The 26277-nt window shown below is 43.6% G+C and overlaps 1 protein-coding gene across 10 annotated transcripts in view, besides 2 other annotated features; it reads right to left on the bottom strand.

Moving 5' to 3' along the window:
* Positions 1-26277, bottom strand: part of DCDC2C (doublecortin domain containing 2C) — a 144434-nt gene that overhangs the window by 49602 nt on the left and 68555 nt on the right. For 6 of the 10 annotated variants that reach the window (NM_001287444.2, XM_047445725.1, XM_047445724.1 and 3 more), the window contains 2 exons: positions 19523-19591; positions 13307-13348 (listed from right to left, as the gene is read on the bottom strand). In NM_001287444.2, the coding sequence (NP_001274373.1) occupies positions 13307-13348; positions 19523-19591 (111 nt within the window). Of the gene's footprint in view, positions 1-4841; positions 5498-8676; positions 10000-13306; positions 13349-19521; positions 19592-26277 lie in introns of those variants that run through there. The other 4 variants (XM_017004836.3, XM_047445727.1, XM_017004837.3 and 1 more) reach the window with 4 other exon arrangements.
* Positions 17240-17740: an enhancer, noted in NCBI's record as "H3K4me1 hESC enhancer chr2:3828257-3828757 (GRCh37/hg19 assembly coordinates)". NCBI's record gives its function as "activates a minimal SCP1, AML or CMV promoter by ChIP-STARR-seq in primed H9 embryonic stem cells {active_cell/tissue: H9 hESC(primed)}" and the evidence as "EXISTENCE:reporter gene assay evidence [ECO:0000049][PMID:30033119]".
* Positions 17510-17729: an enhancer, noted in NCBI's record as "active region_15239". NCBI's record gives its function as "activates an Ori minimal core promoter by ATAC-STARR-seq in GM12878 lymphoblastoid cells {active_cell/tissue: GM12878}" and the evidence as "EXISTENCE:reporter gene assay evidence [ECO:0000049][PMID:35858748]".

Below are 26277 nucleotides of genomic sequence, written 5' to 3'. Positions count from 1 at the left end.
AGGATCAAATTCACACATAACAATATTAACTTTAAATATAAATGGACTAAATGCTCCAATTAAAAGACACAGACTGGCAAATTGGATAAAGAGTCAAGACCCATCAGTGTGCTGTATTCAGGAAACCCATCTCACGTGCAGAGACACACATAGGCTCAAAACAAAAGGATGGAGGAAGATCTACCAAGCAAATGGAAAACGAAAAAAGGCAGGGGTTGCAATCCTAGTCTCTGATAAAACAGACTTTAAACCAACAAAGATCAAAAGAGACAAAGAAGGCCATTACATAATGGTAAAGGGATCAATTCAACAAGAAGAGCTAACTATCCTAAATATATATGCACCTAATACAGGAGCACCCAGATTCATAAAGCAAGTCCTGAGTGACCTACAAAGAGACTTAGACTCCCATACATTAATAATGGGAGACTTTAACACCCCACTGTCAACATTAGACAGATCAATGAGACAGAAAGTCAACAAGGATACCCAGGAATTGAACTCAGCTCTGGACTGAGCGGACCTAATAGACATCTACAGAACTCTCCACCCCAAATCAACAGAATATACATTTTTTTCAGCACCACACCACACCTATTTCAAAATTGACCACATACTTGGAAGTAAAGCTCTCCTCAGCAAATGTAAAAGAACAGAAATTATAACAAATTATCTCTCAGACCACAGTGCAATCAAACTAAAACTCAGGATTAAGAATCTCACTCAAAACCGCTCAACTACATGGAAACTGAACAACCTGCTCCTGAATGACTACTGGGTACATAACGAAATGAAGGCAGAAATAAAGATGTTCTTTGAAACCAATGAGAACAAAGACACAACATACCAGAATCTCTGGGACGCATTCAAAGCAGTGTGTAGAGGGAAATTTATAGCACTAAATGCCCACAAGAGAAAGCAGGAAAGATCCAAAATTGACACCCTAACATCACAATTAAAAGAACTAGAAAAGCAAGAGCAAACACATTCAAAAGCTAGAAGAAGGCAAGAAATAACTAAAATCAGAGCAGAACTGAAGGAAATAGAGACACAAAAAACCCTTCAAAAAATTAACGAATCCAGGGGCTGGTTTTTTGAAAGGATCAACAAAATTGATAGACCACTAGCAAGACTAATAAAGAAAAAAAGAGAGAAGAATCAAATAGACGCAATAAAAAATGATAAAGGGGATATCACCACCAATCCTACAGAAATACAAACTACCATCAGAGAATACTACAAACAACTCTACGCAAATAAACTAGAAAATCTAGAAGAAATGGATAAATTCCTCGACACATACACTCTCCCAAGACTAAACCAGGAAGAAGTTGAATCTCTGAATAGACCAATAACAGAAGCTGAAATTGTGGCAATAATCAATAGCTTACCAACCAAAAAGAGTCCAGGACCAGACGGATTCATAGCCGAATTCTACCAGAGGTACAAGGAGGAACTGGTACCATTCCTTCTGAAACTATTTCAATCAATAGAAAAAGAGGGAATCCTCCGTAACTCATTTTATGAAGCCAGCATCATCCTGATACCAAAGCCGGGCAGAGACACAACCAAAAAAGAGAATTTTAGACCAATATCCTTGATGAACATTGATGCAAAAATCCTCAATAAAATACTGGCAAAACGAATCCAGCAGCACATCAAAAAGCTTATCCACCATGATCAAGTGGGCTTCATCCCTGGGATGCAAGGCTGGTTCAATATACGCAAATCAATAAATGTAATCCAGCATATAAACAGAACCAAAGACAAAAACCACATGATTATCTCAATAGATGCAGAAAAGGCCTTTGACAAAATTCAACAACCCTTCATGCTAAAAACTCTCAATAAATTAGGTATTGATGGGACGTATTTCAAAATAATAAGAGCTATCTATGACAAACCCACAGCCAATATCATACTGAATGGGCAAAAACTGGGAGCATTCCCTTTGAAAACTGGCACAAGACAGGGATGCCCTCTCTCACTACTCCTATTCAACACAGTGTTGGAAGTTCTGGCCAGGGCAATTAGGCGGGAGAAGGAAATAAAGGGTATTCAGTTAGGAAAAGAAGAATTTAAGTTGTCCCTGTTTGCAGACGACATGATTGTATATCTAGAAAACCCCATTGTCTCAGCCCAAAATCTCCTTAAGCTGATAAGCAACTTCAGCAAAGTCTCAGGATACAAAATCAATGTACAAAAATCACAAGTATTCTTATACACCAACAACAGACAAACAGAGAGCCAAATCATCAGTGAACTCCCATTCACAATTGCTTCAAAGAGAATAAAATACCTAGGAATCCAACTTACAAGGGATGTGAAGGACCTCTTCAAGGAGAACTACAAACCACTGCTCAATGAAATAAAAGAGGATACAAACAAATGGAAGAACATTCCATGCTCCTGGGTAGGAAGAATCAATATCGTGAAAATGGCCATACTGCCCAAGGTAATTTATAGATTCAATGCCATCCCCATCAAGCTACCAATGACTTTCTTCACGGAATTGGAAAAAACTACTTTAAAGTTCATATGGAACCAAAAAAGAGCCCGCATCGCCACGTCAATCCTAAGCCAAAAGAACAAAGCTGGAGGCATCACGCTACCTGACTTCAAACTATACTACAAGGCTACAGTAACCAAAACAGCATGGTACTGGTACCAAAACAGAGATATAGATCAATGGAACAGAACAGAGCCCTCAGAAATAACGCCGCATATCTACAACTATCTGATCTTTGACAAACCTGAGAAAAACAAGCAATGGGGAAAGGATTCCCTATTTAATAAATGGTGCTGGGAAAACTGGCTAGTCATATGTAGAAAGCTGAAACTGGATCCCTTCCTCACACCTTATACAAAAATCAATTCAAGATGGATTAAAGACTTAAACATTAGACCTAAAACCATAAAAACCCTAGAAGAAAACCTAGGCATTACCATTCAGGACATAGGCATGGGCAAGGACTTCATGTCTAAAACACCAAAAGCAATGGCAACAAAAGACAAAATTGACAAATGGGATCTAATTAAACTAAAGAGCCTTCTGCACAGCAAAAGAAACTATCATCAGAGTGAACAGGCAACCTACAAAATGGGAGAAAATTTTCGCAACCTCCTCATCTGACAAAGGGCTAATATCCAGAATCTACAATGAACTCAAAACAAATTTACAAGAAAAAAACAAACAACCCCATCAAAAAGTGGGCGAAGGACATAAACAGACACTTCTCAAAAGAAGACATTTATGCAGCCAAAAAACACATGAAAAAATGCTCACCATCACTGGCCATCAGAGAAATGCAAATCAAAACCATAATGAGATACCATCTCACACCAGTTAGAATGGCAATCATTAAAAAGTCAGAAAACAACAGGTGCTGGACAGGATGTGGAGAAATAGGAACACTTTTACACTGTTGGTGGGACTGCAAACTAGTTCAACCATTGTGGAAGTCAGTGTGGCGATTCCTCAGGGATCTAGAACTAGAAATACCATTTGACCCAGCCATCCCATTACTGGGTATATACCCAAAGGACTATAAATCATGCTGCTATAAAGACACATGCACACGTATGTTTATTGAGGCATTATTCACAATAGCAAAGACTTGGAACCAACCCAAATGTCCAAAGTGATAGACTGGATTAAGAAAATGTGGCACATATACACCATGCAACACTATGCAGCCATAAAAAAGGATGAGTTCATGTCCTTTGTAGGGACATGGATGAAATTGGAAATCATCATTCTCAGTAAACTATCACAAGAACAAAAAACCAAACACCACATATTCTCACTCATAGGTGGGAATTGAGCAATGAGAACACATGGACACAGGAAGGGGAACATCATACTCTGGGGACTGTTGTGGGGTGGGGGGAGCGGGGAGGGATAGCATTGGGAGATATACCTAATGCTAGATGACGAGTTAATGGGTGCAGCGCACCAGCATGGCACATGTATACATATGTAACTAACCTGCACATTGTGCACATGTACCCTAAAACTTAAAGTATAATAATAATAAATAAATTTAAAAATAATAATAAAAAACTTCAAATTTGCAAAACATGCACATGTGTTTGACAGTGTCACAATACTAAAAGTCTTTTCTAAAGATGTTGATGAAAATATTAATGCATGTGATTTTTTAAGTATTGTATAATTAAATGTGTCATACATTTGCATAACTCATTGAACATTTGCATAACTCAATGAACCAATATTTTCCAAATGACCAATGCATCATGTTGTAAAATGCTGCATGGGTAAAAATGCATTCAAAGTACAGAATATAACAATAGATTTTAATGTAACAGGGAATAAAAAGTTCATTGATATGGGTTCTGATTCCACATTGTAACTAACCTTTAAGAAACTATCACTTGTCAAGTTTTGGTGTAGTACCAAAGAATATCCACAATTATCAACAAAGTCTATTCAAATATTCCTCTCTTTTTCAAGTACATATTTATGTGAGATTTTTATACATCACAAGCAAAAATAGAAAGACTGCATTAAAAACATGCTTCAAGCCCCCTTGCCCATGACCTGGCCTCTGCCCCCACACCCACCACCTTTCTGCACAGCCTCTTGTCTCTGAGGAGCACAGCAGCCTAGACGCAGTGACCTGGTCTACACCTTGCTGCATCTGTGTCTGAACCTGGCATAGAATGTGGCGTGCCTGATAGACACTGGATGCCTGCTATTTGGAATTCATTTAAAACATTTCTATTGTAACAGAGAAATGACTGAACATTTTTAAATTACAGTATTGATATTAGCAAAGAGACACTTCCATTTCCCCTCCATTCATACAAAAGCACTGGAGAGGAATAATTTCCAGTGGTGTTTCTGGCTCAGAATTGTAAGATCCCACAGACTCAGTCCATTCTGCTGATGGACAGCAGGACAGGGAGCCAGGCCATCTGGCACAGGCGCATTTGTCAGCTGCAGGTGCACAGAGTATGTGACACACATTTGGACAGCAGTGACAAAGTCATGTGGCAAGAATGCTGCACAGGCTTCCGATGCAGAAGGCGGCACTGAAGGATGTTTAGGAGCATTTTCGTCCATCCCAAGTATACAGACGGCTTGTCAAGTTCATATGCAATCTGTGCCTACAATATTTACCAATTTGTGAAATGTATTCTTAAGTGTAAATCAAGGTGTAAATTTGCGTTTGGGTATACTACAACTTTTTTTAAGGCCTGTCTTTTACTTTTCATTCTATTTACAAACAGCAAATGCGAGTTTGTATTTATGGACCTCTTTTTTGCAACGCCGTGGATACCCCTCCTTCAAAGATCAATAAAGACAAATCCTGAAGATGAACAAACGAGAAACAAATGCCTTGCCTTGAACGGAAATTATACGACCTTATGGATGGAATCTCCATGTACTCTGAACGGCGAATCTCAGTTCTGAGTTAAAACTCCCAGATGCTTCTCACATTGGCTTTGTCTTGGGGAAAAGCTGCCAGGTTCCCTGAAGATATGAAGAAAAAAGGCCCCTGAACAATCTCATTTGTCAATTCAAAGTGTCTGTGGACTTTCAAGTCCCTTTCCTCTTCACGTTTGATTTTCTTTCCTTAAATTGCTCATCGGAGAAGACACATTTTTCTCCAAAATATGGCTGTCAATTTAGGGTAACCAAGTAATAAATTCCCCTAAAAGTACCCTCACAGAGTGTGGTGTAAGCAGCCAATAAGGATTTCTCATTAAGCCTTCCCAGAAATGAAAATTTGAAATGTTACTTTTTGTGTCCAAAATTTATATTTACAACCAGGTCTATGTTACCACAACCTAAACTCCAGCTTGTTTGGTACCTTGCAGAAACATCGTAAATTGACTATATATATAATTATAATTTGAAATAATTCATATATCTTAAAAGTTACAGAGAGGATCTCTGTAACTCATGGGGAAAACCAAGTAAATACAAATAAAATACTTTCCTTTTGTGACTACAATGGCTTGTGCATTATGTGGTCATATTTTAATAAACACCTGCCAACCTGAGGCCAACAGAAGTAGGACAAGGGGCCACTCGTGGAGAACAGAAATGGAATCTGAAGCCCCAGACACCAGGGGCTGGATGCACAGCTCAGAGAAGACCATCCGGCTGAACTAGCAGGGACTGTTTCTGTTTTCTCCAGGGCCTATTCCTGCTGCTTAGGCGTTACAAGGCAGGCATCAAGTTCTATGAACTACTTTAATGTCCTCTAACCCCACGGGAGATACCTACACTGACACTTTTAATTAAGAGTTTGCTCACAGCAAAATCCCATCACTGTTCTTTGTCTATGTCATAGCAGATGTCCCAAAGTAAGAATTTTGTCTATCTGCTTAAAACCAATTTTCTGTAACAGATAATATTGTGGATAACTGGTGAATTAAAAAAAAAATGAACTAATAAATGAATGGCCAAAGGCTACTGAGGAATTGGGTGCTCCCTGAACACCGAGCTTCATCTCATCTCCTTTCCTTTTCACTGTCAAGGTCAAAAATAAGTTTGAATATACCAGAGGGACACAGAATGCCCTGTGGCGGTGTGTCATGAGAGTACTGCCTGGATCCTGCACCCTGCCCACAGGGTGGCTTAGAGGAGAAGACATTCTGCCGGCGGGAGGGGAGGAAGAGTGCTGGCCCAGCCTTGGCATGGCACCCAGGCCACTGCAAACAACACAGTGCTGGAGAGGTGTGAGGGTCATCAGGCCCCCGGGGAAGCTGGGAAGCAAATCCAAGTCCACTGGGGAGAGGGAAAGAGGATGAGAATTTGAGTCCTCAGCCTAGCAACCAGGAGGAAAGTAGGGAAGCTTCCAAGATGGAAGGCAAGGCGGTGAAAACTGACCTGCATCCGCTGATCTTTGTTCACTTGCTACTTCTCCAGGCTAGACTGGAACCATTTCATTTCCTTCTTCAGGACCCTAGTTGTGATTTCTAAAATTGTCGTGAATACAACAAAACTGCTTCCATGGAGCCCACCACACGAAAAGGCGATTGGTCCATCCGTGACTGTCTCTTATAAAACGCTAATGCAATACCGTGTGTTTGATTAATGAAGAGTGGAGCCCACCACACGAAAAGGCGATTGGTTCATCCATGACTGCCTCTTATAAAATGCCAATGCAATACCTTGTGTTTTATTCATGAAGAGCACTGCCCAGAGCATCTTTTCTGTTTTTAAGTGAAAATCTTTCTCCTATTATTTGAGTCCAAATGAATCTCCTATGTATAGAGGGATACAAGCTTTCTACTTCTAGAACCACAAAATTTTCTTTTTTTTTGAGACAGAGTCTCACTCTGTGGCCCAGGCTGGAGTGCAGTGGCGCGATCTCGGCTCCTGCAAGCTCTGCCTCGCGGGTTCACGCCATTCTCCTGCCTCAGCCTCCCGAGTAGCTGGGACTACAGGTGCCCACCACCACGCCTGGCTCATTTTTTTTATATTTTTAGTAGAGACGGGGTTTCGCCATGTTAGCCAGGATGGTCTCGATCTCCTGACCTCGTGATCTGTCCTCCTTGGCCTCCCAAAGTGCTAGGATTACAGGCATGAACCACCGCGCCCGGCCTAGAACCAAATAATTTTCTAAAAGTTTCATTGCTTAATATTTCACCACGACACCACTTAGCATTACTAATGACCTTAGACTTCACTTTTGAGACTCCAATGTTGATTGCTATTGACCTTGTCTCTTAGAGAAGCAATAAAAGACTTAGCTGTGGTGATGGAGTAGTATCAACATAATAAAGAGAAAAAACAGTAAAGATACTGGGCAGGCGATTAATTTTAAAAATCAATTAATGAATCAATGCCATTGTCATTTTGTTGCAAAAATCCTGAGTCAGAGATAATGCTGGATCCTGGTTTTATTGGCATTTCTGGCAATGTTAATTAAATGAAAACCCTCCACTGATTGAGAAAGCACACAAGGAGAGGAAATGATTGTTATGGATCTGTGGATGCATTTCACTTCAGTAAGATGCTGAAATGGTGTTTTCATCAGTAGCTGCAGGCGATGGAAAATGGCTGACGTTCTGAGCTTAGCATGTCTTAAGCATGTCAAATCACTTAAATATTATTTATGTCAATTGATATAAACCACCACTTTGATCATTTAAAGAGGCTGCACTGTTTTATCACTTGTCTAATAGCTAGTAGCAAATCAACTACTCACTTTTTTCACCTGCTCTCATCTGGGGCATTCTGGGTAAACACTGGCAGAAGGCGCACAGTTTCTCAGCTTCTGTAGAGCACCTGAAGCACGAGAGCCTCCTTGGGAAGACCTATCTCCTTCAAGACCCTTCGTCAGTCTGGTGGATTTCAATCCTCAATGAATTTCTAAGCACACTATGATTTGAGGTACAGTCATAAAGACAAGAAGACTAAAAAGCAAAATAGACATGACTCTCTTTTTGTTGTAAGAAAATAAGCATGCAACAGCACACAACGTTAATCAATCATAGATAACTCCTGTTCTATAACCACTGTTATGAAGTTACCCACTATGTTCTATTTTCTTATGTTCTTGTCATTATGATTCCACCCAAAGTCAAAAATTTCCTAGTTTTCAAAAACATGAAACACCAAAGCCTAAAAGCCACAAGAGGATCAAATCTCTCTTTCTTTAACCCTAGAATGCCCAGGCTTAGTTAGTTAAGAAATTCTGAGCAATCAGTACCCCTGGACAGGAAAGAAGGAGACATATAAGCAGATGTGCTCCACACATAAAGGGAGCATTTAGTAGGAAAAAATTAACCATCCAATGGAGAGTTGTTGAAAACTTGAATGCAAACACAAAATAACTTGGGGGATAATTGGAAAAAGGCAAAGTATTTGAAAATGACATGATTATAATAGTATGCTTCCTGAAGGATGAGAGCATTAACAGATGACCAGAATGAGTAATTGTTTCTTGAGACAGGTGACTCACAGAACAATTAGAGGCATGGCATTAGAAAAAGAGTGAAAGATCAAGTCATAAATATAAATAAATACAGTATAAAGTTGAGCAATGATGAGAATTGGTACTATTTACTGTAAGGCATTTCTTCAAGAGAAGCACAGGAGCCAGTCCTCAGTTCAAAGGAAGTCTGGAAATAGGGCAGGAAAAAGGCCTCTGGATGCCACGTGGAGTTTTGTGTGGTGCTTGGCAGTTTTTCACTCTTGTTTCTCCAATGGGCTAAAACATAAATGTTTCAAAGGTAGACAAAACCCACTATTTTTCCATCACATTGAAAACATTTGGCCAGGCAGAGTGGCTCACGTCTGTAATCCCAGCACTTTGGGAGGCTGAGGTGGGTGGATCACTTGAGGTCAGGAGTTCAAGATCAGCCTGGCCAACATGGTGAAATCCTTCTCTACTAAAAATACAAAAAAAAAAATTAGCTGGGTATGGCGGCACACGTGCCATGCCTGTAATCCCAGCTACTCAGTTAGCTGAAGCATGAGATCTTTTGAACGTGGGAGGCGGAGCTTGCAGGTGACAGAGGGAGACCCTGTCTCAGAAAAAGAAAGAGAGAGAGAGGGAGGGAGGGTTGGGGGGAGAGAGGGAGGGTTGGGGAAGGGAGGGAAGGCAGGAAGGGAGGAAGGGAGGGAAGGAAGGGAGGAAGAAAGGGAAACGGAAGAAAGGAAGAAAAACATTTAACAAAGGACGTTAACAGGCTGTGAATGTTGCCTCCAACATGCATTTAAAAGGACTTTGCTTTGATAGGATCACGCATAACATTGTCCTGAAACTTACAAAGTGCACCCAGATAGACCATGTCACAAATCAATGACTACAAATACTAAAAATCTTATGTTAGGTACTTTTTTTTTAACTAATAGCACATTTATTGTTGATCAAAATTATACTTGATTTCTGAAGCCTTTGGGGGGAAAAAATGTCACAATTATCTTCTTATACACGTTGCACCTGGAACTTGTCACTACGGCATCCTGTCGTGCTGCTTGGCTGTCAGAAGTGACTGATATGTTCATATTATAATCTATGGTGCAAAAACATAAAATGAAAACAGCAAACTACACACCCGGTGTATTCTGAATGCTCTTTGTGGGTGTTATATTTCAGAAAGTTACTATCTGTCCAATACAGGATGGAAGTAGGATAGTTCAACATTTAGATTCATGATTTAAGATTGTAGTTTACATTTTAAAATCTGTTAGTGGATAATTATTCAATCTGTTTACTTTTCTTCTCTTAAATCTATTTGTCACTATCGTCAAAAAAATAGCCAGTGAGAAATCAAATTGAATATTTGTTCAGAAGAAAAAATAAAACTTCCTTTTTAAATTCTGATTTGTGATCAAATATTCAGAGCAGATGACATCCAGGAAGCAACACTTGCAACATAGATCTGGAAAAATTCCTTGTAAGTACATGATGCCTGTTGTTTTGTTGTTGCTGTTTTTAAAGTGAATGGCAGCTCTGCTCAAAAACATTTAAATCTATTTCAAATATATAAAACCAATATTCTGAAGTATACTGAGAAAAAAACCTAAAATGTTGAAAATATCCTCAATACTGATTCCTAGTATTTCTTAAGATAGAATTTTCTATTATTTGACAAGTTTCAACCTTCTTAATACTCTACACAAAAAGTAAATTTAAAATGGAAAACAGTCCTGAAGAACATGCACAAAAGTGAGAACAGACTCTGAGCAGAGGAATTCAGGGTTTTCACTTTCTCATTTTTTTCTTATCTGCATTTTCTAATAAGTCTACAACCAACATAAATTGTTTATAGTTTAACAAAGTATTCTTAATTTTAAAACTAGTGTGAGGTATCAAAGGAGAAAATTTCATTTAAAAATATAGTTAATGTCGACTGTAAGTAAGGCATTGTGCATGCCCGATGCTGAGAAAAGGGCAAATGTGAGTAAAATCTCATTCCTTCTTTCAAAGACTTTAGACCTCCATTGGAGTCATGATTATATTAGAGAATACCAGTAACAACAGTAGACAGCATTTATCCCCAGACCACTGAGTAAGGAAAAGGCACTTTTAAATACTTCTAATCTTTACACTCATTTCACAAGTTGGAAATTATCTCATTTTTACAGATAAGGAAACCGAGGCTCAGAGAAATGAAACTATTTGCGCACAGTTTGCATGCGGCCCAATTTGCATTCTTTTCATTACATTATGTTTGGTAAAATATTCCCTTTAAAAGAGTAACCTGTGTGCCAAACAAGTGATAAATGCTCCAAAGAATTACTTGACATTCAAACCAGATATTATTTTCCTTCAGGGACATCACTATGAATACACATTAGTTTTCCCAGTCACGTGCACTTAGGTTGGCTGCAGAGAGTTCCAGAGGATGGAATGCCACATAACAAATGGATTACACTGATTTCAACAAGGGAGTTAAGAGTGGGGAAAACCAAGTGTCTAATTTCAAGCTGAGGAACAAAAACTTTCATTATCTAACTCAAGAACAAATAATATAAACACCATTTTAAACATAGATATGTTATACTTTTCAGGAACTTTCCAATCCATTGCCTCGTTGATTCTTGAAAAGTAAGTAAACCTATAAACATGTAAAATGCTTGTTGATTGATTCAATCGAGTTACTTAACAAAGGACACCTAGCAAGTTAGTGGAAAAGCTAAAACAGGAATTTAGCGCTCCTCCAGCCACAAGGCTGCCTGCACATCCACACGAGAGGCTCCGTGCACAGGCGGGACACACCCGCACCGGAGGCTCCGTGCACAGGCGGGACACACCCGCACCGGAGGCTCCGTGCACAGGCGGGACACACCCGCACCGGAGGCTCCGTGCACAGGCGGGACACACCCGCACCGGAGGCTCCGTGCACAGGCGGGACACACCCGCACCGGAGGCTCCGTGCACAGGCGGGACACACCCGCACCGGAGGCTCCGTGCACAGGCGGGACACACCCGCACCGGAGGCTCCGTGCACAGGCGGGACACACCCGCACCGGAGGCTCCGTGCACAGGCGGGACACACCCGCACCGGAGGCTCCGTGCACAGGCGGGACACACCCGCACCGGAGGCTCCGTGCACAGGCGGGACACACGCACACCGGAGGCTCCGTGCACAGGCGGGACACATCTGCACGAGAGGTTCACTGCACGTGGAGGGCGGGGGCGGGAAACATCCACATCAGAGGTTCCGTGCACAGGCGGGACACACCCACACGAGAGGCCCTGTGCACAAGCGGGACACATCTGCATGGGAGGCTCAGTGCTCGGTGGGACACATCCACACCAGAGGCTCTGTGCATAGGCAAGACGCAGCTCACACGTGTTCCCCTCCCCCATAATATGGTCAGGAATATTTTTGCAAGTCAGCTATTTCTAACAATAAGAATAAAAGTAGTAACGCTAAGCAGACTTTACACATATTCTCTCCTGGAGGTTGATTTTGTTATAAACAATTGGACAGACAAACTTTGAATACAGGAGGAAACTGAGGCAATCAGGTTTTAAGGAGTGTTCCCGAAGCCACACATCCGGCAGGTACTGAAGCAGCCAAGGCCAGGCAGAGCTGATTCAAGTCCCCAGGGTGTGCAGACGCTGGCTTCAGTTAGGTTAACCTCCCCAAGTGTCATCACTCAGGGCTCACGTCCTTTGCGGAGTGCTGAGGTGTCTAGGAAAACTAAAGACTAAATAAATGAAACTTGACACATTCAGACAAAAATCACTGTCATCACTTAGTCATCTACCAACTCAGGATGAGAACTCAGTCCTGCTGAGGACAGAGCTATTGCTGACGGCAGGGAGAGCAGCGCTTCTAGGGGGAAGCACCTTCCGCTGCCAGGTGTGGTTCCCGGCCCAGCTACACATCCGCTTTCCCAAGGGCTGTGAGCCCCCCACTCCCTTGCTCTCGCCAGGCAAGCACATCCATCCTTAGCTTCATGGCTGGCGTCTGAAGGTGCAGCTTTTATGACTGCCTGGAAAACCTAAGTGAGTGACTACAGGTGTAGCTGCCAGATAATTCAAACGCGTTTTCCAGGTTTTCCAGGCAATCATAAAAGCTGCACCTTCAGATGCCAGCCACACGCTGCCCTAGGGCGCTTTTTACTCCTGGTTCTTATTTGCCTTTCCTGAGGATCCATCCACCCATGTGAAAGGCCGTGATTATGCTTCTTTTCCTCCAAGTTTGTTTTCTAACTCTGGAAAATAGAGCTAGGGTGTATGACAGAGGCATAAAAGTTACATTCCTAAAAAGCACCTGAGAAGATTTGGGGATCCGTGGATTCTCTTGTTAGGTCTGTCTTCAGAATAGAAAACGCAAAACTACAGCATTTGTTGTTGATACAAACCTTTCTTTCAACGTCTTCACAAAGCCTTGCATCTTCTTTATCCTAGTATGAAAAAACAAATATAGGAATCAACTATCGCAAGAAGGATGTTGTAAAATAAATCCTTAATCTCCCCCACCTCTACTCTGCCTCTCAGGGAGGTCAAATTCTTTCTCATAAACATCATTCAGGAGCTTGGCGTAAAGCCTCAAGCCTCATCCTCACTACTGACTCACTGCTCTGTTCCTCCTACTTCCTTCCATTTTGTTTCCCATTCTAAATTCTTTGTTTTTATGTACATCTTTTTGATCATTCTTATGCAAAAGGCGCATGTCATACCTGTATTCTCTGTTACACTTTGATTTTTTTTCACTTAATATAACATCTTGGAGCTCCCATCCTTCTGTTATATGAGTCTATCTAATTATTTTCACAGCTGTATTGTATTCCATTCTATTGGTAAAACATAAGTTAATCAACCAACCCTGTGGATGAACACTGCATTTGTTTCTATTAATAGTCATTAATATATTGTAATATATTAATATTTGTTATATTAATATAACTGCATAGGATGCTCTTGGAGGAAGAGAAAATCATCACCCCAAAATCAGAGTCAATCTCCCTCTCTCTCTTCCTGTCCCTCTCTCTCTTTATTGAATCTTAATATAACAAATATTAATAGTTGTTAATTAATATATTTGTAAAATATTCCTGGCTATCATAATAATGGTTTAAAAAAGTGCAGAAGATATTCCTAGCTATGATAATGGTTTAAAAAAAGTGCAGATTTAATTTTAATAGAAAGAGCAAAAACTCTTTTCCAAAGGGCTGCATTGATTTATACATGACCCTAATAAGAAGTATTGCTACTTTTCTGCATCCATATTAACATAAAAATATAGCATTCAATTATCTGCAAGAGGAATGTTGTAAAACAAATCCCTAATCTGGATTTATTAAGCACTGGACATTGTCAATCTGATTTAACAACAAAAAAACCTCATTTTTATTATTTGCATTTCTTTAATTAGGAATGATATGGACATATTTCCTTATGTCTTTTGGAAATTTGTATTCTTCTTTGTGAATTTCCTGTTTGTCTTATTTGCCTTTCTTTTTATTGGGCTTTGTGTTAATGATTTATGAGACTTGTGTAAATCAAGAAAATTTGATTTGTATTGCAAATATTTTCTTCCTTATTTTGTTTAGCTTTTAACTTTATGAAATTTTCCAAAGAGAAAAGTTTGATTTTCATGTAGATAAACACTAAGGCTTTGGAGATAATTACTTCTTCTGATTTAGCCTTTTGAGACTCACTGAATATCCACCTTCATCTTTAGTCCCCTCTACTGGGGCCACGCTCAGCTCCTGCTTGGCCACACTCCGGCCTCAGGCCAGAGGCCTTGCGATGCCCCACGCTACCTCCACTGCCACACACTGGTCACCTAATATCTTCCAGAGTCTCTATCAAGCTCAAGATCAGTTACTCCTGTGTGCAAGGTGATATGAAAGGCACTAACGATGACACCAAAATGAATTAAGTCGAGACTCTTCCTTCAGAAAATGTAAGTCACTCAGAAGAGACAGTAGACGTACACAAACAGCTCTAATTAAAGCCAAACTGTGCTTTGGACGGCGTAGGAAGGACAAACAAAATACTAGTGGAGGTTAGTGGAGGAAGAGATGCTCCCTGGGGAAGAAGGATCCAGAGAGCCGTAAGGACGAGGCTGGCTCTGCAGTGAGCCCTGGAAGTGGGTGAGAGCTGGAAAGGCAGAGGTGCAGCAGGCATCAGGCACAGCTCCGGATAGGCCAGAACATGCACAGGATGCTCTTGGAGGAAGAGAAAATCATAACCCCAAATCAGAGTCCATCTCCCACTCCCTCTTCCTGTCCCTCTCTCTCTTTATTGAATACACAAAATTACCCATGAAATTTTTATACAGCTTTTTCAAAAGTATGAAACACCTAAATACTATTTGAAAGGTCGATAACTGAGAATCAGAGAAAAACCTGAGTCACACAATACCCGACCACTCCTATGCATAACCCTTCTCTAAAGCATCCCTCCAGAGCTGGCTACAGACCGCACGGAGATACTTCCAAGGATAGGAAGCTCGTGTCATCCTTGGAGAGAGCCCTGAGCACGTGGCCTGTGGATACATTTTTTGGCATTGCCATTCATACTTTCCATCTTGCTTTGGAAAGGGATTGAACCTTTTCAAAACCATTACGCATTGCTTTACAAACTTTGCAGGTAGCGTAAATTAAACAGTGCTGCTTGCACATAAGATGTTTTAGAACCAATGAGTCCAAACAAATCAAGCACTAAGAACTGGAGAAGGCCAGGTGCGGTGGCTCACGCCTGTAATCCCAGCACTTTGGGAGGCCAACGTGGGTGGATCATGAGGTCAGGAGATTGAGAACCAACCTGGCTATCACAGTGAAACCCCGTCTCTACTAAAAACACAAAAAATTGGCCAGGTGTGGTGGCAGGTGCCTGTAGTCCCAGCTACTCGGGAGGCTGAGGCAGGAGAATGGTGTGAACCCAGGAGGCGGAGCTTGCAGTGAGCCGAGATAGCACCACTGCACTCCAGCCTGGGCAACAGAGCAAGACTTCGTCTCGAAAAAAAAAAAAAAGAACTGAAGAAAATCCCAGTGTTCCAATGTTAATAACATTCCATCTTTAAGGATGAAAAATGTTATTACAGTGCCCAATATCGTCAGAATTGTAGTGATTGTATAATTAACATGTTTAAAATATTCTGAGGATGAGGAAGTGTCATCCAAAAGCACAGTTCTATTTTTGCTTTTGATTTTGATTGCTCCCACTTCTATGCTATTGACATACATAATTATAAAATGAATGCACCCTGAGCTGTGGCGTGAGGAGGATCCCATCATAATACTTGCATCTGAACAGCTCCTTCAGGCCGGGATTGTTTTAAGTGCTTCAAATGACAACACAGTTGGAGCTAGGCAAAGCAAGGAACGGGGAGTTAGCGCAGGACAGGGAGGTGGCACAGAGTTTCGGTGTGAGGGGACGAAAAGGTGTTGGAACCAGACCATAGCCGTGACTGTGCAACACGGAGAACGTGATTAATGCCGCTGAACTGCACGTTGAAAATGGTTAAATGGCAAATTGTATTTATATGTTACCACAAAAATAATTTGTATTCTACCACAAAAATAACGTTTGTGATCAAGCATCAGAAATCTTTTCTATATATAGTAGTAATTGTTGTTGTTTTTCTTTCCAGACAGAGTCTCTCTCTGTCACCCAGGCTGGAGTGGCACAACTGTAACTCACTGCAGCCTCAACCTCCTGGGCCCAAGCAATCCTCTCACCTCAGCCTCCCAGGGAGCTGGGACTACAGGTGCACACCACTGCACCTGGCTACCTTTTTTTATTTCACTAATTTTTTGTAGAAACAGGGTCTCACTATGTTTCTCAGGCTGTTCTCAAACTCCTGGCTTCAAGCAATCCTCCTGCATTAGCCGCCCAAATTGCCAGGATTACAGGCATGAGCCACTGTGCCTGAACAATACATATTTATAAATAAAGTTTATAATATGTCTTCTTACAACTTTGCAAGGTAATTAGCATTTTACTCCAGGATTACATATTTAAGTAACTTCATCATAGGCAACTGAAAGCAAATCTGCAGATATTTATTAAACACCTACTGTATATAAGACACTGAATGATACATAAGTTGACAGGACACAATCCCGGTCTTTGAGGAGGTCAAGCCGGCAATCATATGCCTAAAATTTTTAATATCATCAATATCAAATAAATGTCATATGATTAATTTGTCAAATGAATGTACAAATGAAATGCCAAGTGAACTACAGTTCATTGAGAGCAGGGTTAGCTCACCGTGGCCTATTGGCCAGGAAGGGCTAATTGAGTCCTGCTTCTTTTTCATTGTTATTACAGCTAGTATAATGCATATAAAACGCTTGCTCTTCTTGAGCCCTCAAAAACGTGGGCCAAATTTTAGGGCCAATTACCTTCAACCCCATGAGTTGCTTCACATCAACAAAGGTTTGTTTCAGTCATGTTAGAAGCAAAGACTGAGCTGTTAGAACTGAAACACTTGAGCCACCCTGCACCCCTTGAAGCAGTAGGTGGCGCCAGCGAAGCAACGGTATCTACGAGGGACACAGTGTGAAGCCTGATACAGGAAATACCTCTTCCGGAAAGTTATATATAAATAACCAGCAAGGTTCACTGGAAGAAGAAAACACAGCCTTTGGAATCGCTCAAAACGAGCTTCAAATCCAAGCCCCATCACCTCCTGCGTGACGCCGACAAGCTACCTAAACTCCCCATCTCATTGTTTTTAATCTTGTTTATTCTGCCTTCCTTAAAGATCGACTGTGCAGTGGAGACAGGGCTGGGTATGTGGGAACGGCTGCGCAGTGCCTGGTGCACGGTGAAGCTCGGGATGCCTTCGTTTGCTCCCCAGCCCTCCCTGTCCTGTCTCCCGTCATTAATGTTCAGGCAAGAGAACCAAGGTATGGCTGTCCCTATCACCTTTTAGATCCTTGGCCCGGATACCTGAGGACTAGGTGCTTGGGTTTGCCATTGAATTCCAGTGATAGTGCTTACATTAAGAAAGACATTTTGATTCACTCTAAGAAATTAAATCTGCTACTGGCTGTTATCAAGTCACTAATACGCATGGATCCCCCCAGCAGCCTGAGTAGATTTCCGTAACAAGTCAGTTAAGCACAGATGACAAATTCAACCGCCAGTGTGCACAAGGGATTCAGGGGACACCACAAACTCACGGCAGTCAGAAGGCCTGGATCATATCGCTGTTGAAATATGCCATTCACATAAGAGCACCCTCTCCTTGAGGGTAAGCCAGGTAAGCCGGTGGCTTGTTTGCCCCTCTTAGCCTAATGCTCTAAGACAAATGTCTGCACTGTCACTCCTGCTCTCAGAACACACTCTTACCCTCGACGGAGGGTGCCAAAGAAATAAAAAACTGTCTTTGCTCTTCGTCTGACAGTCTTCCCTACTCATCCAGATACAGACAGGATACCTTTCCACAATTATCCAGGAATATAAAGAAGAATGAGCTGTTTTACAAGTGTATTCTGTTTGACTCTCTGTTTTAGATCAGAAGCTGCTTTGGTGTTTTCTAAAAAACCTGAACTAACTTCCTGAGGACCCATATCCCTTCCAACAAACACCCGTTCCAAGTTGTGTCAGGCGCCGGGGGTGACCTGCGTGGCTCCAGCACCCTGGCACAAGCTCCCTAGGGGTCACTCCTCCCCTTTCTTCAAGGTGGCAGCCAGGAAGCTGCAGGGCAAGTTTAAGAGCAAAAAAAAGTGACTCCCGGCAAGGCTGCGAGTGTCCCCGCCTGTTTACAGCCCTGGAGGATAAATCAGACTGCAACTCTCAGACTTAATGAATCCGGGAGCTCATTACACAGCCTCCTGTGCGATGATCAATTTACACAGCTCCCTGACTGCCGCCAAACTTTTAAAAACAAGAGACTACCTTGAAACAAAAATAAAGATCCACAGACAGAATTCTGAAAACAAAGTCCTCAAAGTCCACTTCTTAGCTAAAAATGATACATTTAAAGTAAATTCTGTTTTCCAGATACACACATTTTATGTGGACGATAAGTTGCATAATCTCATAGAGGACCACAGACACACGCTCCCTGCATGGAGGAAGTTTCCAGGACATCCAGATAGGAAGAAGACCGAGCAAGAACCCACACTGCCAAGCGTCCTGCGCTGGCTTCCACTGCCATCTGCACACAGGCACCGCACGCCCTCACCCTCGTGCTCCCCGGCGGGACCAGCCACTGACACCACGCCACAAACTACGCCAGTCAGCACCCCAGGTGTCCACTCCACACAGCCACCTGCACACCTGCTGCCTTCCTTCACCTCCCTGGACGTTCCCAGCTAAAAGTACATCTTGAAACTTGCTGGGGGAAAAGTTTTTAGGTTTGTGACTGGAAGTAGAGCGGAAAGTAATTAGGACAAGTGTAGATGTGATTAAAATGACTCATGTAATTGACTGGCACAGGAAACCCGATCGTGTCCACGGCTGCCTGCGAAATGCACTCGCTTCCGATTCCGCGCTGGCTTGTGTTTTGGAAGCGACTTGTGATCTCAGATCCTTTCACCACCAAACGTGAGCTCTGTTCAAAGTGTCAGGTGCCTTAGATCCAAGCCATTAAACACAAAATAAAATGAACTCACCTTGTTGCCCTCAAAATCAGGGGTGTTCTCATGTATCTCTTCATCTTCTTTAACTATCTCAGCTTGTCTCTGGGGAGAAAATACACCACATTTTATCAACTACTTATGTGGAACTCCTTTTAAAAAATCAGAGAGCACGTGAAATAGTGCGACCTTCTAGACCACTTCTATGGGTAGAGCTGGGGAAGTCACTGCAGTTTCTCCAGATGCAGGATGGCATCCACTCTGCATTTTTGTGTTTGGCTCCAAGAAAATGTCAACCTGCTTGGTAAAATTGCTGGAGAAACCTCTTTCTTCTAAGGAGTGGCGTGGGCGCTCCAGAGACCTCTGGTCAGCAGGTGCTTTTGTAATTCTTGGGACACCATGAGGACCCCACCCAGGGCCCTCTGCTCCCTGGTCAGCAGACGCCCTCCACAGCCTGCCTGCCCTCACTCCTCACATAGCAGTGGGTTCTCACTCTCCATGGTTATTTCCTAGTTTTCATGGCACACTGGCAGAAGACAAGGATCTGTCCTAATCTGTGTCCTGGAGCCTCTCCCTGCTCTTGGGGAGAAGCATGTGGTTCTGTGACCAAAGAAAAGACTCTCCAGGACCAACTTCCTTTATATTTCTGTAGCAGTCAGGACAGGCTGATGAGGCTGCAATAACACGCCAACCAAGTATGCGTGCTGCACATGCATGGCAGCTGGCCGGGAGGAGTCCCGTCCACACAGCCACTCAGGAAACCCACTGATGGAGGCCCCGGCGCCTCCTGTTTCCTGACTGCAAAGGAAGAGAAGATGCGGTGTGGGTGCTGCACATGCGTCCAGCTGGCCAGGGGGTGTCCCGTCCACACAGCCACTCAGGTAACCTACTGATGGAGGCCCTGGCGCCTCCTGTTTCCTGACTGCAAAGGAAGAGAAGATGCGGTGTGGGAAATCACACACTGGCTCTTCATGCACCTTCCTGGAACCACTCACCTGTCATCAGGGAAGGCAGGTGGCATGGCCACCCTGAGTCACAGTGGGCAGAGAAGTGAATTCTCACTGTGTGACCAGAGAAAAAGAACTGCCATTAGTAATGAGCCATGAAGACCCAACAGCTCCTGCCAGCTGACCTTGAATGTGCAAGAACAGTGTTCCGTGGCGAGGCAGACGTGTAGGTATGTCTTCAGTATGGCAGACCCCATCAGCCCAGACCTCAGACCTTCTGAAAACTCAGACCAAGGCTGTATGAGCATTATCTTCCTATAGCTTATGTAGAAAAGCAGTCGCAATGAATAAAACTCTATGGTGAGTGCTCAAACCACGTAAAAAAATAAGCTTTGTAAAAACACATTATTTTAAAGAATAATCAACATAATGTCAATCAAAAACATGTTATTTTAAAGAATAGTCGATGTGATATCAATCACTGATTCATTCATTTATTCAGCAAGTATATAGAGGACACCCACCATACTGAATACCACAATGCCAGAAGACACAAGTGATTGTGAGTACAAACAAACAAGGCCCTCAAGAAGTCGAGAGTCTTATAGGGAAGACAGATATTAATTAAATAGTCACACAAACAAAACAACTGTGACAGGTGCTACAAGGAGAGGTACATGGAACAGAAAGAGAATGTAATAGTATTTAACATATATGGGAAAGCAACAAAGACATCCTCTGGTAATTGACTACTAATGTAAAATCTGAAGGATGAAACAATGTTAATATATAAAAACAGATGGGAAAACAGGCCTGGTGCATGGAGCAGCATGTGCACAGCCCTGTTGCAGGAAGAAGCGCTGAGCTTCAGAGTTGCTGGGGGTCAGTGCATGAAAAGCAGGAGTGACAGCAGCAATCTAACCAAAAGAGGATGCTAAGTGGGACCAGAGAGATGGTAACACAGGCAGAGAGGGGTGGAGAGATTCCAGACACATTCAGGAGGTAAAACTACAGAGTCCAAGATGATCAGGATACAGAAGGGTTGAAGAGGTCACTCTCAGGAATACCTCTTCAGTTTCTCTTTTGTCTTACTGAATGGATCTGGGTGTCATTCATGCAGAGAAGAAGGTTTGAGGACAGGGGAAGGAGACCGCGAGTTGCATTCTCACTCTGCTGAGCTTCAGTGTCTTAGGACATCTACAGGAGGTGTTAATTCAGCAGATGTGCATATGTTCCTGGAGGTCACACACACTGACACTGGGGTGATACAGAATTTTATATCACATAGAGAGGACATCCAGAGTGAGAGGAGAAGATGCCCTACCCCTCATCCTTGCTGAAAGCCAGCATCTGATGGCCAGTGAGATGATCAGAAGCCTAAGAGAAGGACAACGAGCGGCCAGAGGGAAAAGGGAAGTCAGGAGTCTCATTTGACGAGATTCTCTTGCCAAAGGAAGACAGCATTGCAAGGAAAAGCGAGTGGCCGGGAGCGCCATGGGTGGTGAAGGTCCCGTGTGACGAGAACTGGGGAATGTGTTGGGTTTGGTGGCACAGAGCGGAAGAGCTGTTTTTTGCCACTATGGACAGAAGCCTGAAGAGATAAAGAAGAGGGGAGAAGATGGAGAAAGTGAGGAGACACCACTCCCTGCAGACCAGCTCCACGCATGAGGGGAGACAGACACGCTCAAAGAGGACTGAGACCAAGAAAGAGTTGTTTTTACTCATAACAAGAGTGATTTCAGCGTGCTCATATGCCAGCCAGAAGGACTCGGGCATGAGAGAAGCTAAAGACACCAAGGAAAGAGAGAAAATTATTAAGCAGTTGATGACACACAGTCCTGAGAGGTTCTGAGCGGGAAAGGATCCAGCATCTGGAAGGAGGGGATATATGGGTAGGAGAGGACGGACCTCTCCTTCTATGATGAAGAAGGGGCAGATGGCACAGATTAAACATCCTGTACCCTGACAGCTGCCTAGCCCACAGCCACAGCTGCCTAGCCCACAGCGACAGCTGCCTAGCTCAGAGCCACAGCTGCCTAGCTCAGAGCCACAGCTGCCTAGCCCACAGCCACAGCTGCCTAGCTCAGAGCCACAGCTGCCTAGCCCACAGCCACAGCTGCCTAGCTCAGAGCCACAGCTGCCTAGCCCACAGCCACAGCTGCCTAGCTCAGAGCCACAGCTGCCTAGCCCACAGCCACAGCTGCCTAGCTCAGAGCCACAGCTGCCTAGCCCACAGCGACAGCTGCCTAGCTCAGAGCCACAGCTGCCTAGCCCACAGCCACAGCTGCCTAGCTCAGAGCCACAGCTGCCTAGCCCACAGCCACAGCTGCCTAGCTCAGAGCCACAGCTGCCTAGCCCACAGCCACAGGTGCCTAGCCCACAGCCACAGCTGCCTAGCTCAGAGCCACAGCTGCCTAGCCCACAGCCACAGCTGCCTAGCTCAGAGCCACAGCTGCCTAGCCCACAGCCACAGCTGCCTAGCTCAGAGCCACAGCTGCCTAGCCCACAGCCACAGCTGCCTAGCTCAGAGCCACAGCTGCCTAGCCCACAGCCACAGCTGCCTAGCTCAGAGCCACAGCTGCCTAGCCCACAGCCACAGCTGCCTAGCTCAGAGCCACAGCTGCCTAGCCCACAGCCACAGCTGCCTAGCTCAGAGCCACAGCTGCCTAGCCCACAGCCACAGCTGCCTAGCTCAGAGCCACAGCTGCCTAGCCCACAGCCACAGCTGCCTAGCTCAGAGCCACAGCTGCCTAGTCCACAGCCACAGCTGCCTAGCTCAGAGCCACAGCTGCCTAGCCCACAGCCACAGCTGCCTAGCTCACAGCCACAGCTGCCTAGCTCACAGCCACAGCTGCCTAGCTCAGAGCCACTCCCTACGTTGTTCCTCACCCAAAAAAAAAAAAACATCCAGCCAGGCGCACTGGCTCATGCCTGTAATCCCAGCACTTTGGGAGGCTGAGGCAGGTGAATCACCTGAGGTCCAGAGTTCAAAACCAGCCTGACTAACATGGTGAAACACCGTCTCTACTAAATACAAACAATTAGTCAGGCATGGTGGTGCATGCCTGTAATTCCAGCTACTTGGGAGGCTGAGGCAGGAGAATCGCTTGAACTGGGAGGCAGAGGTTGCAGTGAGCTGAGATTGTGTCACTGTACTCCACCCTGGGCAACAAGAGCAAAACTCCATCTCAAAAAAAAAAAAATCAAAAATTCAAAATTTTTTCAAATACTATTCATACATTTCAGCGGAGCCTGAATCCCTTTCCAGACACGAGAAGTAAAGGCTGATTCCGCTAAACCACCTGAGGTCAATCACCTCTCCCTGGCTAGGGACAAGAGAGGCATAGACACGCGGCAGCTTTCAGAGGGGTCCCTGGGAAAGCCTCTCCTCACCGTTTAAACGGTGCAGTCTCTCTACTCTCCCCAGCATCCCATGTCTCAGTGTGCCAGCCACAGCAGAGACTGCCACCTTGAGATCATGAGGAGACAAGCCCAAGGCCAAAGGTGAAGGCTTGGAGGGAGGCAGTGGAAGAATGGGGTGCCCAGCCACTCCCCGAGGCTCGAGGGGGCCAACCCCAGAGCCTCTCCCACACGGAAGGCTCGAGTCCTTCTGTTAGGTGGCCTGATAAACGTTCCTGATTGTTTAAACCACTTCTCTTGAAGTTTCCCGTTCCTTACAGCCAAAACATCCTTACAGATATAGTAGCTAATTATACTTTTAATTTATTCATTAAAGCCAACACCCCAAGGATCTCAGTGGCCTCCGTCTGAGTTACTCTACACAGATAAAAGTGCCAAAGCCTAAAGCTTCATTAGGTTTTTTCCAATTAAACAATTCACAGATTACCCAAGTTTAGATTGACCTTCTCCTAATTAGTCCCAATTATTTTGGTTTCTCTTTGGTTGGTGACTTATTCTTATCTCTTTCTCTGGAGGGAAATGCATTACACCCCTTGGAGGCACAGTGCAGGGGGCACTGCCCTAGTTGCTATTTGAGAATCCAAGGAAAGATACTCTCCTTTTGCACTGACTCTTTGAGACTCTCTAAAAATAACTGGATTTTAGAAGAGTAGAAATGGACCCAATCCTTTGTGATTTCAGTCAAACCATGCTTCTCACGCATCAGCTGAAGACCTGGGGTTTGCACAGCCTACTTACCACCTGGGGAAGGATGAAGCAGCCTGCTCTACTAAAATGGAATTGGCCATGTTCAGAGTAAATTCTAGACTATTTCCCCAAGAAAGGAATCACAGGTGAGTGTCCTGGACCTGGCAGGGTTTCCAATTGTACACATTTGCCCACCTTCTTAAAGTAGTTACAAAACTAAATATAATCTTATCACTGGAAGAAGACCTTGCTTTTGTAAAAATGTAGTACTTAAATCAGAATTTCAACATTAATGTTTTAACATCTGGGTGCCTTTTTTGCACAGATTGTAAGAAAATTATTCCTTAACATTGGGGCAAAATGATTCGAGACTTTAGTGTAAAAATTCACTGCTCTCTGAGAATGAAAGCTTATCGGGCAGCAGGCACACAGGCCATGCACCCCCGCGCATCTACAGATTCCCTCTGCTGATGGAGATGGTGGGGGAGGGGTGGATGCCAAGGGGATACATTATCTGCTATTATAACCAAAAATTAAAAATTCTTTGAAAATAAATTATAATTTCTTAAAAATAAAAACTCAAGAAAGGAGGGAATGCAGCCTAGGAGGGAAAAAAAACAGGGGGTCGTTAAAGACTGGCGATAATTCACGCCACAACCACCAGTGAATCGCCTTCTCTCTGACAGCCGGCCACGCCCCACAGCTTCCACCCCGAAACCCTGTCCCTCTTGCTCCCATTGCAGTTCCCACAAGCTAAGCCTTCCGTCCTATTCACAACCACTTAGTTCAGGACAAATGAGTTTCAGTGACTCTGAAGCTTCCCACTTTGATGACCCAGGTAACTGAGATCACTGGATTAACTCAGGTTACCGCTTCCCTAATGCAGAACCCCAATCTTGATTCTCTCATGAGCCACAGATGAGCACCCACAGAACTCTGTGAGAGTCTCCGTGTCAAGTTTGTGCTACAAGAATGAGCTTTCAAAACAGCTAGGAGCCTTGAAACGCCAGTGTGAACTTCCCAACACCTGCCCATAAGCCAGGGGCTCTGCAGAAAGCCCTGTGTCCGTTGATAGAGACCCAGGTGACAGAAGCTGGAGGACAGAAAAGTGACTTGTATGATTAAAAGTATGTGTTGTTTTGTGAGTAAATTAATAAGAAAACAATTAAAGGCTGAACAAGTGAGAACATTCTAGAAATCCAAGTACAGGTCAAAATGCACAATGAACACTCATCTTGCACTGTCAGGAAGACCAACACCCAGCGCCCCCAATGACCTGACTTCCCAGCTGAGCCTCCGACCCTCCCTGCCCACATTCAGTGAGGCCGTGCTCCATTTTGTCCTCCTCTGCACAGCTATGAGATGTTCCAGAACTGACTAACAAGTACTGGGAGAAGCTCCTAGACACTGGAATAAAGGAAAGGTGACAGGAAAGGGGGCTGCGGAGTCAAAGTCTTATTTATCATCACAAATCGTAAAGATCATATGAGGCCCCTCCACAGGGGCCAAGGACGGGCCACATCCTTCATTTCTCCAAACCTGACAATGGGAGTTTAGTAACAGATATTGAAGGTGTCACAGGAAAATCGAAGTGTCCTTCCACATTGGACATCCTCCATGGATGCTCGGATGCTGTGCTGTTAGTGTCACTGACCACGAAGCAATGGCCTGGGATTTGGAGGACTCTGCATTCATGAGGTTCCCTTCTTCAACCTAGAAGGCTTGACTCCAAATTCA

The sequence above is a fragment of the Homo sapiens genome, chromosome 2 (assembly GCF_000001405.40).
Source record: "Homo sapiens chromosome 2, GRCh38.p14 Primary Assembly".
In the NCBI taxonomy this organism is placed as follows: domain Eukaryota; kingdom Metazoa; phylum Chordata; class Mammalia; order Primates; family Hominidae; genus Homo; species Homo sapiens.
This window is presented reverse-complemented; position numbering and strand designations above follow the sequence as displayed.